We start from the raw sequence: 14,238 nt of genomic DNA, 5'->3' as shown, positions 1-14,238 counted from the left end.
CCTCAAGGATCTAGAACTAGAAATACCATTTGACCCAGCAATCCCATTACTGGGTATATACCCAAAGGATTATAAATCATGCTGCTATAAAGACACACACACACATATGTTTATTGCAGCACTATTCACAATAGCAAAGACTTGGAACCAACCCAAAAGTCCACGAATGATAGACTGGATTAAGAAAATGTGGCACATATACACCATGGAATACCATGCAGCCATAAAAAAGGATGAGTTCACGGCCTTTGCAGGGATGTGGATGAAGCTGGAAACCATCATTCTCAGCAAACTATCACAAGAACAGAAAACCAAACAATGCATGTTCTCACTCACAAATGGGAGTTGAACAAGGAGAACACATGGACACAGGGTGGGGAACATCACACACTGGGGCCTGTTGGGGGATGGGGGGCTAGGAGAGGGATAGCATTAGAAGAAATACCTAATGTAGGTGACAGGTTGATAGGTGCAGCAAACCACCATGGCATGTGTATGCCTATGTAACAAAACTGCATGTTCTGCACATGTACAACAGAACTTAAGTACGAAAAAAAAACTGGATACGTTAGATTCACTTTAGTGCATATTAACATCAATTCTGCTTTCCAGAAATGTAAGGGATACCTGTGATAACTGTTAATTTTAATTTGGCGCACATGCTAGCAGACATCAGAGTAAGAAATATGCCATAGATCTAGGAACAGTGTTTCCATATGGTGCCTGCAAACACAGGTGGGAATGCAGAATCTACATTTCTCATGACTCATTTTTTAAAAAAGCTTGTTTGTCATTTGCATCTCAATAAAGCTAGAAAAAAAAGCCCAGAAGTACAAAAAGCCCTTATATATCTGCAGTAACTAAAACAAACAAATGCAATCAATGAAATAAATTATTTCTATGAAGATTTTTTTCCCTGGAGACTTTTTTCCCCTGGAGATTAAACAGCATATTCAATATCCATTTCCTGGCAGAATCAACGCTGGTAAATACTGGTTTTGCTGTCAGAACATTTTCTGAAAATGTTCTGGGAAAAAAAAAAAGAATCATGGGGGAACAAAGCCCAGTGTTTTCAAATAAAGTCTGAAAAAAAAAAAAAGCCACTTCTTCAAAAGCCGTAATTGCTTATCAATGTGCTTGGCTCTCCAAGACTGTGTTGTATTAAATAGCAAAAGAAGGTTTTCTTTTCCAGAACCTCACAGGAGGACACAGACTTGCTGCTTCCTTGGTTGTGAGCCCAATCAGCAGGACCACTTCAGGGTGTTATAACTGGTTGGTACAGTTTCCAATGCAATACTAAGAAAGGATATAAAAAAAAGCAGCAGCTTATAAATAAAAAAAGAAGTAACAGCATGGACTGTGAATTAAAGAGGTTGAGGTTGCCACATTTTTTTTTGAGGCGGAGTCTTGCTCTATGGCCCAGGCTGGAGTGCAATGGCACGATCTCTGCTCACTGTAACCTCCGCCTCCTCGGTTCAAGTGATTCTCCTGCCTCAGCCTCCCGAGTAGATGGGATTACAGGTGCACAACACCATGCCCAGCTAATTTTTTGTATTTTTAGTAGAGACGGGGTTTCACCATGTTGGCCAGGCTGATCTTGAACTCCTGACCTTGTGATATGCCCGCCTCGGCCTCCCAAAGTGCTGGGATTACAGGCGTGAGCCACTGCACCTGGCCGAGGTTGCCATTTAATACTATAAAATATATTTAAAAACTACGGCATCTGGAAAAATAAACTCAGAATTCTCCAAAGTATAGTAATAACAATGCCACTAAACATACTAATTGACAATCTAGATGATCAACGTAGGGAAGAGAGGTTATTTTGAGAAAAGTAGTGAAGATGCTAGAATGCCAACTTACTAAAGAAAGTTTTTTTTTCTTTTTCTTTTTTTTTTTTTTTTTGAGAGAGTCTTGCTCTGGCACCCAGGCTGGAGTGCAGTGGCGTGATCTTGGCTCACTGCAGCTTCCACCTCCTGAGCTCAAGCCATCCTACTGCCTCAGCCTCCCAAGTAGCCAGGACAATAGGTATGCACCACCATGCCCAGCTAATTTTTGTATTTTTTGTAGAGACAGGGTTTCACCATGTTGCCCAGGCTGGTTTCGAATTCCTGGGCTCAAGGGATCCGCCCATCTCAGCCCTGCAAAATGCTGGGATTATACCCGTAAGCCAGTGAGCCCGGCCTAAATTCCTGAATAAAATTTTAACCAATGACTGTTGACAAGTATTCTAAAGTCCCTGGTATCTGTTGCTGAAACTGCATCTCAAAATGTCAGTAAAACAAGAGTATGGGGAGGGGAATCTCAGGACACAGCATACTGAATCTCAGCCAGAGACACCAATAGGGTGGGTTTATTCAGGTAAAAAAGTACCCTGGTAAAAGATTATAAAGAAAAAAAAAATAGTTGCCTAATCTAAACTCCTCCACGTAGCTCAAATATGATTGGTTAACCTAACATCAAGTGATCAAGGAATGGCTCTCTTCTTGAAAATGTGCCAGTATGTACAACTGGCTGCATGACTATACAGTGGTTCTAAAGGGCTCTGGAAAAGGAAAAAACCTTCCACTGAAGTTTTAAAATTTATTACTTGATGGAAGAAATTCATATCCAGAAGTTGGCAATTTCAGTTCAATGCCATTTTAGAACTTTTTATTAATAAGCAATTCTGAGTGAATTAAGTAGAAATCTTCATTTTTATGATTCTCCCCTTTAGCTAACATTTTTTAGGATACCAAGCAATGTTCTAAATACTTCACATGTACTGACTCACTTAATTCTCTTAACATCTCTTTGTAACTGGTACTATTTATCCCCATTTTACATGCACAGAGAGGTTCAGTAACCTATCAAAGGCCATACAAGTAAAGAGTGGATAAGCTAAAATTTGAAGCTAAATAGTTTTTGGTTCTGGAACTTGCACTGTATGTTGACTGCATCAGATAGGAAGGCTTTATTTTATCATATTATTTTAGGAGAGGATGTTTATCACCAAGCCACAGAGCTAGTTAGTGGCAGAGCTGTCTCACAGGCAGGTCCTGTATCTCCCAGATTATTATAACTCTGTACTGTGTTGAAATTTGATAAATTGAACCCTCAAGTGGCATTTATTTATGCAGATGTGCTACTCTGCAGAGAGTACACATGATATTTAAATAAGGTCTTATGATTGAACTGCCAAATAAGTAGTATCATGTTTTTATTTCTGGGCCTGTGAAGAGCTGGAAAATGTTTTGCTAGTTGGCAGGAGTCTGATACTTAAATAGCTAGATACTGCCAATCTAGAAAAATCTATTTTTCCATAACTAGAGCTGTTAATCTAAGGGCTTAAAACTGGTTTTGTAAGAAAAGATGAGACACAATTATTAGGTCTACACATACAGATTGCTTCATCTATTTTGTCCAGAGGATTCCAGGAGAGTCCCTTGGCCTGTGAGGTCTGTGCAGAGGGAGATGATGCATGCAACTACTGCTCTGAATAAAGAAGTAGGTATTGATCAAAACCCTTATTGTGAATGTTGGAGAAAAAAGTACTCACTTTCAGACTTTTCTCCAAACTTGAAAAGTCTGTACATTGTACTCTGATCCACTGGAAACTTAAGTGGACTAGAAACCTGATACTGTGGTTTCTCAAGTTGTACATCACTATGATTCAAAAATTTGTTCCTTTTAAAGACTTTTTTGCACAGTTTCAGTAAATAAATGCTCAACCGCTAGGTAATATAAACTCTACCTTATTATTACTATTACTATTATTATTATTATTATTATTATTATTATTATTATTATGAGACGGAGTCTCGCTCCGTTGCCTGGGCTGGAGTGCAGTGGCTTGATCTCGGCTCACTGCAACTTCTGCCTCCCAGGTTCAAGCGATTCTCCTGCCTCAGCCTCCCGAATATCTGGAACTACAGGAGCATGCCACCACGCCTGGCTAATTTTTTGTATTTTTAGTAGAGACAGGGTTTCACTGTGTTACCCAGGATGGTCTCGATCTCCTGACCTCATGATCCCCCTGCCTCGGCCTCCCAAAGTGTTGGGATTACAGGCGTGAGCCACCACACCTGGCACCATATTATTATTTAGAATATTTCCTGCCAATCAATTTCAGCGAATAAAATATGTTTGACTGTCTATGTGTTTAGAAGAGAAATTCCAAATAAGGTTTTCAGTTTTCAATTCACACTGGTGATTAAAAGGGACCAGAGTAAAAAGAGAGGAAAGAAATGGCCACCATACCATCTTAAGTTTGGTGGCCAAGAAGTATTTCTGACAACAAATCTGTGAAGAGTTGTCTCAGAGAAGAGAGACACTTTGTGTCAGTTCAGAAGACAGAGAAGTTACACAGTAGCATATTTTACTTAATTAAAAAGAAAAAAAAAGAGGAAAAGTCATTGGTTTAAGTCAGAACCCATCTAAGTTTTGAATATTGTCTTGAGATAATTTTTCCCAGATCACACAAATTGTAATTATAAAGGCTAGGGGGAGAAACCATGCTAGCTTCAGTTACAAAGGGCATGGAACTTTGTGAACAGGTAGAGAAGGGTATCCTGTGGTGGGAAGGGGAATGCCTATTAATACTACTTGTCTCCCAACAACGAATATATTTAGTTATATCTATGCAGATATCTCCTGGGTATGGCTCAACTGTTTCTGTCATATATAGTTCTTGAAAAGAAGAAATTATTATTGTCGTTTGTTGTTTTTGTAGTCATCTTTAGAAAATTACTTCTGAGATTTTGAAGAAGGAGAAGCAAAACCAGAATCATTTGCGTTTAATTTGTGAAGATCTCTCTTGTAAAGCGTCTTTTTGCGTGAACAGATTTTGCTTCTCATTGAAATAAGAGATAAGAGCAACAGAAAGCATATGACAATTTCCACTTAGATTTTAAAATTACAGACAAAGCTTTTATACTATATGAATAAGGGTATAAAGCTAAGAATGCAAAAAAACAGGAACTGTAAATTAATGCCTAGAGACATCAAGTAGGCAATGCAAAAAAAATCCATCCTATAACTTAATAAATACCAAAACTGAAAGACAAAAGATTAAGCTGAAGAACTTAAATCTGAGTTTGTCCTTCACTAAAACTTATTTTTATTTCATTTAAGTCTCTTCCTCTCTGGTGCTATGTCCAAAAAATGATGATTTTGTTAGGTTCTCTACTACCCTAATGAATAGGAGAAAGAGTAAATAATTACCAAGTGTGACCTTAGTCCATGTGGCCATTCACATGGACTCACATGTGAGTTTATCCCTTGAACTGGGATAAAACTCAAAGTAGGGCCCGTGATCTTGGTATATAGTCTCCAATGCATCTTGAGTATAACCAGCCTGATATTTTGGGGTATGAGAAAAAGTAAGCTGATGTATTTCTCCAAATGTTATTCTAGAAATTTACAGTTTATAGCATCATCTATGTTTATAGAGTCTGACCTATATTGGTAGGTTTTTTCCATTAGCTTTCTTATCTTCAGTCAAACCAAACTTATTATTACTTGCAGCATACAAAGAGAATGGGGACAAACTCAAGAAATTAAAAGCTAAACTACACTGAAAACTGGTAAAAGCTAGATCACAGAAACCACAGTGCTTAAGAAGACAATGCCAATCAAAGTTTCTTCTTTTCCCTTCAAAACTTAATTTTTCTCTGATCTCTGCAAAAGCTAATCTTTTTATCTTTTAGACATTTTCCTAATTTATGTTTTCCTTCTTCATAGCTTCTCCAACTAATCCTCTAAATCAGCCTTTTTCAACCAGGATTCCAGTTTTGTGGGCCATGAAGTCTCTGTCTCAGCTGCTCAATTCTGCTGTCATTGCCCAAAAGCAGGCACAGACAATACATAAATAAAGTGACATGAAATGGTGTGGCTGTGTTCCAGCAAAATGTTATGTTTAATAATAAGTATAGACAATAGTTTGCTGAACCTTGACTTAGAGTCAGGGGTTTGCAGTTCAATAAATACTTTTAACTAATGATGATGGCGAAGGTAAGAAGTAGACCAGGGTAGGGATAGTTCCATAACTATACCTTCCTACTATACAGCAGTGATACACTTAGTTTCTGGTTTCTGATAAGCATAAAAGTAAAGACTAAAATTTCATATCCACCTAAGTGTATCCATGCATATGTGCTAATTCTGGAAATGAGCAAAAAACAGAATAAATACTGTAGCTTTTTTCTTTTTTATCATTTACTTAAAACAGTTAACTGAATCTTCTATGAATAAGTAGAGTGCTGATGGCTGACACATATATAGTCAAAAGAGTATTCAGAGTTACATATCCTTTCCAATACTGATTTATCATCAGTTTGTACTTATTGAGTACTATCAGGCACTAGAAACTAAGCAAAACACAAGAAACAACGAGCCTGCAGTCATTGATTCCTGACTAGAACTGTTCATTAGCATCTCCTGGGAAATTTTTAATTTTCTTTTTTTAGAGCCCCACTCAAAAACCTACTAAATCAAAATCTTACTTGTTAGGGCCCAAGATAAAATTTTGTAAAAGGGACCTTGGTAATTTTGGGAGCTCCTGGTGAAGAATCACTGCTAGAGGCTTATATTTTTAATGAAACGTTAAACTCTAAACATTTTCTAATCTATGGTCAGCAATTTGGTATTATAGTTTAGGCACATGGGCTTTAAATCAAACAGCTGGGTTCTAATCCCATTTCTGCCAATTCCTAGCTGTATACCCCTGGGGAACTTCTCTGTGCCTGAGTTTGTTTATCTGTAAAATGGGCATAATAACATCAACTCAACTCAGCATTGTTGGGAGAATTCAATATGTAAAAAATAGCTGGTGTAGTGCCTGGCACACACTAAGCACACAACAAATATGAACTATTACTACTTCTTACACATTTCTTAAATTAAGAAGAATACTATCAAGTATACTACAATTTAAAGGCCTGACTCAAGGTGCAAAGTCTTTAATAACTATTGGAAAGAAAGGTGATTAGGCTGATTCCAACTTGTCTTATACTAACCAGCAGAAGAGGTGTCCTTTTCCACAATCAACAGCAGGAGCTCTCAGCAATGGGAAGCTGAGTGTATCAGATCCAGATGTATTTGACCCTTGTTTCGTTAGTCTTACTGCTCTGTCACAGCCTGGAGTAGGACACCATTTAATGGCAGGATTATTTTCAACAAAGGCCTGTTTAAACAGCAATAACAAAACACAAAAGAAAATATTTTAATGCTAAATTCTAATACAGAGTGTACCTCTATGGTAATTTACTATAAAGCAAAGAAAGAAAAAGAGTGAAATAAAATGCATGGAGTTGTCAGTCTCAAGAAATTTAAATAGTACTGCAAAGTACTGAAAAAATTATTAAGGGGAAAGTGGCAATTAACTTAGTAACAAAATTATTTTTAAAATTTATGTTTTCTTTAATCTAAAAACCATGTAAATGATGATAAAGCAAAAATGTAATTGTTTGCACAGAAAATATGTAATTTTAAAATGTTTTCTCATACAATGTGTCACTTTTTGATGAATATAATTCTTAAGTAGAAACATGCATGTAGCTGTATTAGAACAGTAAATTTCTAAATGGTACCCAAATAATACATAATAATCAATATTATACTTTCTATGTTAAAGAGGGGGGTTGGGCACAGTGGCTCACGCCTGTAATCCTAGCACTTTGGGAGGCTGAGGCAGGCGGATCACCTAAGGTTGGGAGTTGGAGAACAGCTTGGCCAACATGGAGAAACCCCATCTCTACTAAAAATACAAAAATTAGCCGGGAGTGGTAGTGGGCGCCCGTAATCCCAGCTACTCTTAAGGCTGAGGCACAAGAAAGGCTTGAACCTTGGACGCAGAGGTTGCAGTGAGCTGAGACCACACCACTGCACTCCAGCCTGGGAGACAGAATGAGACTCCGTCTCCAAAAAAAAAAAAAAAAACAAAAAAAAAAAGGAGGACTTGTCTTTTAAAAGTTCACATATTAGACTCAGTAAAATCTGCACAAAGCAGTTAAAATGTAACTTTTAAATCACACACGCAAAAGAAAGTAACTTGCCTACACTTACAACTTCTGAAAAAGAATGAAGACAAAAAAAGATGAAATAAACATTATAATTCATTATATAAACCTATTACTTGGAATAAAAATGATAATAAACTTCCAAGTTGGAAATCTTTATTTCCAAATATTTTATTTAGAAGCATGAAAGATAATGTCTTTTGGAAAACTTAAAGTAGGTAAAATCTAATTTGAACATTATCTTGATCAATCAGTTATTAAAGTGCAACGGGCAAATTAATAAAAAGTTCTGATAAATAGTTTTATTTTAAATTTTGTAAATTACCAGTACTTTAGCCTTTCCCCTTTCCTCTTATTATTACAAAATAATGCTTTAGCTTCAAACTTTATCACCATTCCTTTAAGCAACTTTTCTGATAAAGTGTTTCTAACAAAAGAGCCATTATTTTGTTTTCAAAAATAAAACAAAAAGAAAAAATAATGTTATAAAGGTTTAATAAAATCAAAATTATGGAAATTGGACAGATAATTGGCAGTATACCTTACCTTAATATCAAACTGTAGGTATCGTTTGTCCATCTCCTTTGAAACTACACTTTCTATGATATCCACAGGTACAAGTTGGAAGCAATCATATGCAGGGCAAAAAATGTTGTGAGCTTCACCTTCTTGAATTTTCAGATTCAAAAACCTATTAAAATGGATCAATGCACATCAAACGAGCAAGGATATTAAGTTGTGCATACATTCTAAGAATTTTCCTTTTTCTTTCCTTTTTTTTTTAGAGACAGGGTCTCATTCCATCACTCAGGTTGGAGTGCAGTGGCACGATCACAGATCACTGTAGCCTCATACTCTTGGGCTGAAGCAATCCTCTCACCTCGGTCTTCTGAGTAGCTAGGCCTACAGCTATATGCTGCTATGCTGGGCTAATTTTTAAATTTTTGCTAGCGATGGGTCTTGCTATGTTGTCCAGACTGATCTCGAACCCCTGGTCTCAAGCGATTCTCCTGCCTTGGCCTCCCAAAGCCCTGGGGTTATATGCGTGAACTACTGTGTCTGGCCAATTTTCCTTTATGCTGAACTTTTTGTCAGAGTGTAATTAAAATAATACCAACAAAAGTGTGAAACAGCAATTGTAATGCACATTATCTGTTAAGGCATTCATTTTATATATCAATATATATGCATACACATATATACATACACTCGTATGTTTCATATTTTATGTTTCTATTTTGCTTTACCCTCTCTAAAAATCTGAAACAATCTGAAAAAGTATTTTTATTTAAAATTAAAAATTCAGAAATGAGTGGCTCAGAAAGGTCATATTCAATTCTCAATATGCTACAGCTTTAAAGAAAAGGGGGCAATGGTATAGAAATGAGCCATAGATAATTCAAGATATTTTGGGATGGCATTAAAATATAGCATAGTTTTTTGAAGAATAGGTTTATAGGTTTTCTTTTTATATTTCACTTAGATGAATATTAAAATAAGTTTTATTTCCTACTTAGGTATACTTGAGTAGTGAGGAAAAAATGCCCTGTAAAAAAGTATCAAGAATCTAGCCCAAGGTTAGATTAAAAGCAGGGTTCTTTTTTTTCTTTCCTTTTCTTTCTTTTTTTTTTTTTTAAGATGGGGTCTCTCTTTGCCTAGGTTGGTCTCAAACTCCTGGGATTAAGTGATCCTCCCACCTCAGCCTCCTGAGTGAGTAGCTGGGATTACACGCATGTACTACCATGTCCAGCTAAAAGCAGGGTTCTGAGTTAGAAAATTCCAGATCTGCCACCAACAAGCCATATGATCTTAAGCAATTTATTTAACTGCTCTAAGCCTCAGTTTCACCATATGTAAAATGGAGATAATAATATGAACTTCCCAGGGTTGTTAAACAGATTATATATGTGAAAAATCTACATGGTGCATGACATAGAGTAAGAATTCATAAATTTTAGCAAGGATTATTATTGTTATTATTATTTAGTACTGCCCTTAGAAAAGCAAGAAACAAACTTTTGAAGTACAGATTACTGTATATTGAATTTAACACTTAAATCTAGAGAAAATAAATGGAAAACCAGGCAATTAAATCTAACTGCTTAGTCCTCACCATCAACATTTTGATTATTTCACTAACTATAGTATCTTTTTTCTTTAGTTCTCTCATTCTCTTAATTCCACTGCACTTAACAACAACAACAGCAGCAACGACAACCTTACTGAGACCTTGGCAGGCCCGTTCCCTTTGCTCCATCTTCTCTTTCATATCCTCGTCTGGGCAATTCATAGAAAAGAGAATCCCCAACAGTCAGTTCTCTCACTCCAAGTGCTCTCTACCACACCTCAAACCTAGCAGTATCTTTAGCATTCTTTCCTTTCTTCCCACTCACTTCTGTGAAAGGGAGAGCTTTCTCTTTAAACCCCAGGCTAATCCTCAAATCCTCTGGCCAGCTCTGGGACTTGCACTATCCAATAACCTATCCTTTCTCTCTTTTACTTTCTAATGGCTCTTACCTTGGGCACAATAAACATGCTCAAGTTTTTCCCATTTTAAAAACCCTTACTAACCACATGACTCTCTTCCATTTTCTTTTTCTTTCACATCAAAGTTTCTTGACAAAATAGTTTATGATGATCTGTTATTCCTTCCTCAAGCCCATCTCATTCACTTCTCAATCTGTAGCATCTGGCTGCTATCACCTCTTCACTGGGCCACAATGACTACCCATTAGCCCAACTTATTAAAGAATTCAGTTTTTATCTTCCTTGATTTCTCTAGAGCATGAGACACTGTGAACATTTCCTTCTTTCAAATTCTCTTTGGCGTCCAGGAATTAACTTTTTTTTTCCCTTGGCATTCTTCAACCTCTGGTAGATCCTTATCCATTTTTTCACAAGTGCCATTTTCACTCCTGTGCTAAGCAGCGATATACAAGGTATATAAGGTATATTGTGGCCTGGCACGGTGGCTCACGCCTATAATCCTAGCGCTTTGGGAGGCCGAGGTAGGCGGATCACAAGGTCAGGGGTTCAAGACCAGCCTGACCAACGTGGTGAAACCTCATCTCTACTAAAAATACAAAAATTAGCTTGGCATGGTGCCGGGTGTCTGTAATCCCAGCTCCTCAGGAGGTTGAGGCAGGAGAATCACTTGAACCCGGGAGGCAGAGGTCACAGTGAGCTGAGATGGTGCCACTGCACTCCTGCCTGGGTGACGGAGCGAGACTCCAACTCAAAAAAAAAAAAAAAAAAGTCTTAAAGACTAAAAGTAGAGAACTGTTAACTGTAGAGTTCCTTTTTCACATAACAAGATTCTCCTCTTTTTAGCTATGAAGAGATTCCCTGGGAAGTTGTATAGTCCCTTGTCAAAGTTCACAGTTTGCTTAGACATAGTTACTACATGATGATGTTTTGAATTTTACATATTTTAAATATATCAGAGAAGATTTAATCATCTCTGGGGAATTAAATTACAGAACTGAGAAGACCTCATTGAAGACAGGATCAGTTCTGTTGGCCATATTATTATTTCTCATCAAGACACAATTTAATAAAAATTTATGAGCAGAACATGGAGTTGATAAGTGTCACTAAAAGAGAGAAATCTGGGGCAAACCTTACCTATATTTTTATCTTGCAGGTAAAATTCACAGATGATATCATAGGTAGGCTCTCTCTGCTTATTACAATGCTTAGGAATATGATAATAAGTAATATTTATTGAACGATTACTATATGCAAGATCCTGTTTTAAGCACTTTACATACGTTAAGAAATTTAAAAAACTGATGATAATCCTAGGAAGCACATACTATTATCACCACTTTATAGATTAGGAAACTGAGGAACAGGCAGGCTACCAATTACCTAAATCAACAACTAATAAATAGCAGAGTTGGAATTCACAGCCCAGTGACCTATTGTATCCAGAACTTGAGCTCTTATCCTCAATATTAGCAAAGAAATTCTAGTCTGGCTAGAAAATAATAATTTCTATCTAATCTGTCGATTGATCGATCAATCAATCGACAGGGTCTTCTTCTGTTGCCCAGGCTGGAGTGCAGTGGTGTGATCATAGCTCACTGTAGTCTTGAACTCCTGAACCCCTGGGCTCAAGTGATCCTTCTGCCTCAGCTGCCCAAGTAGCTAGGACTACAGACATGTGCCACTATGCCTGGCTATTCCCTTTTATTTCAGCCCTTGGCATCAATACTTTAAAGCAGGGGGTGTCCAATGTTTTGGCTTTTCTGGGCCACACTGGAAGAAGAACTGTCTTGGGCTACACAAAAAATACACTAACAATAATGACAGCTGATGAGCTTAAAACAAAAATAGCAAAACAAAAAACAAAACAAAAAAAAACTCATAATGTTCTAAGAAAGTTTATGAATTTGTGTTGGGCCACATTCAAAGCTGTCCTGGGCCACATGCAGCCTGTGGGCCACTGTTGGATAAGCTTGCACTAAAGCATCTAGCTGTACTAATAAAAAGTTTGGGAAGAATAAGATAGATTGAGGGGCTTTCAAACTATCTGAGGACCTTTAAAAATGCTTCCTTGGTTTTAGGAGTTTCTTTTTCTATGTGCCTATAAAAACACTGTGATAATTAAAAAATGATTTCATCAACACATGAATCACCCAACATGGAACTTCTTTTATTGGTGCTTGATTTGACAAAATTGGAAGGGGTGGAAAGGAGAATCCTAGGTAGGCTAGAAGGTACTAAGGAAACCAATAATTAGATCTTTCAAATTTAAATCTTACCATACATTTCTTATGGCTAGTTTGTGATGAGTTTGGGAGATAGTTCCTGTGATACAAGTCAGGTGAGGAAGGTCAATGAAGCTCAAAAAAATTCAAGAAAATCCCCTGGGGGACTCAATTTTCATATACACACCAAGACCAACAGCTAACTTGGTAGAGCTCAGGTAGTACTTCCTAATTAAGTACAGTTAACAACTAAGATAAAGTTGTACCTGGGAAGTATTTTCTGCCTCCACAACTGCGTTAAGGATAGCTTTGGATTGTGAGCTCTGACCTTTGTCAATTAGTATACCTGTAACAGCTATACTGATCTGATCCTATCTAAGTAGACTCTGAGTAGAATCTAGTCTATGTCTTAAAAGGAACAACCAGATATTCTGACTTAAAAAGCAGTATTTTTTTCCCCCTCCAAATGAAATCTTGCCTCTTACTCCAATTTGGAAAACAGATAAAGAAATGTACTCAAAATCAAACCAGACACGTTGGGGGACTGAGGTGGGTGGATCACTTGAGGTCAGGAGTTCGAGACCAGATTGACCAACATGGCAAAACCCCATCTCTACTAAAAACACAAAAATTAGCAGAGCGTGGTGGTGTGTGCCTATAGTCCCAGCTTACTGGGAAGGCAGAGGCAATGAGAATCGCTTGAACCCGGGAAGGAAGACGTTGCAGTGAGCCGAGATCACACCACTGCACTTCAGCCTGGGTGACAGAGTGAGACCCTGTCTCAAAAAAGAAAAAAAAAAATCAGAACGACAGCTCAGCAGTTGCCTACAAATTGGGGGTGATAAAAGGAAGGCAGAAAGAGAAGAGTAGCAGGGATTCAATGGGAAATGAGGAAACCTGGGAATGACAGATTCTAAGGGTTGTGGTGATGGTTTCAAGCTTGTATATAGATATCAAAGCTTATCAAATTATTTATTTTAAATGTGTGGCTTTATGTATGTCAACTGTACCTCAACAAAGCTGTTTAAAAAGAAAAACTCAGAAAATCTGCTCAGGTTCTCGCTCTTACCCACATAGTATTCTCTAGCTCCCTACACTTGCTAACTGATACTCTATTTAAAAAAAAAAAAGGTTAAAAACTTCTGATTTCTAAGATTTTCTTAAATACCAATGACATATCTCACTTAGGTCATCAAACAATAGCTTTGTGTGTCTCCAGAGATAACATGACATTACAGTGCTCATTATAGCAATCTTTGTTTAGAAACTTCTCTCGAAAAGTGCAACATGAGAGCAAAGTTAATGGATGGTGAAAAAGTATAAATCTTGAAAGGTAACGGGAAGGGTAAATAGAGATAAACACAAGAAGCAAAACAAATTTTCCATTGGTAAAATATACCCAACTATGTCTCGCTGAAACATTTAACTCTGCATTCACTAAAAAGAAATTTTAAACATCTATATTCTTAAAGATTTTCAAGGCAACTTGGTTGTCACAAAAAATTGAGACAGCACAAAACCAAATGCTT

At 37.1% G+C, this 14,238-nt stretch overlaps 1 protein-coding gene across 1 annotated transcript in view; it reads right to left on the bottom strand.

Moving 5' to 3' along the window:
* The window catches only part of ANKIB1 (ankyrin repeat and IBR domain containing 1), a 155,410-nt gene that overhangs the window by 41,746 nt on the left and 99,426 nt on the right, over positions 1-14,238 (bottom strand). Inside the window, exons 8-9 of the mRNA NM_019004.2 lie at positions 8,544-8,688; positions 6,996-7,162 (exon numbers count right to left, since the gene is read on the bottom strand). Of these exons, the coding sequence (NP_061877.1) occupies positions 6,996-7,162; positions 8,544-8,688 (312 nt within the window). The remainder of the gene's footprint in view (positions 1-6,995; positions 7,163-8,543; positions 8,689-14,238) is intronic.

Source organism: Homo sapiens, chromosome 7 (assembly GCF_000001405.40).
Source record: "Homo sapiens chromosome 7, GRCh38.p14 Primary Assembly".
In the NCBI taxonomy this organism is placed as follows: Eukaryota; Metazoa; Chordata; class Mammalia; order Primates; family Hominidae; genus Homo; species Homo sapiens.
The sequence above is the reverse complement of the archived record's forward strand: the minus strand, read 5'-3'. Positions and strand labels throughout refer to the sequence as shown.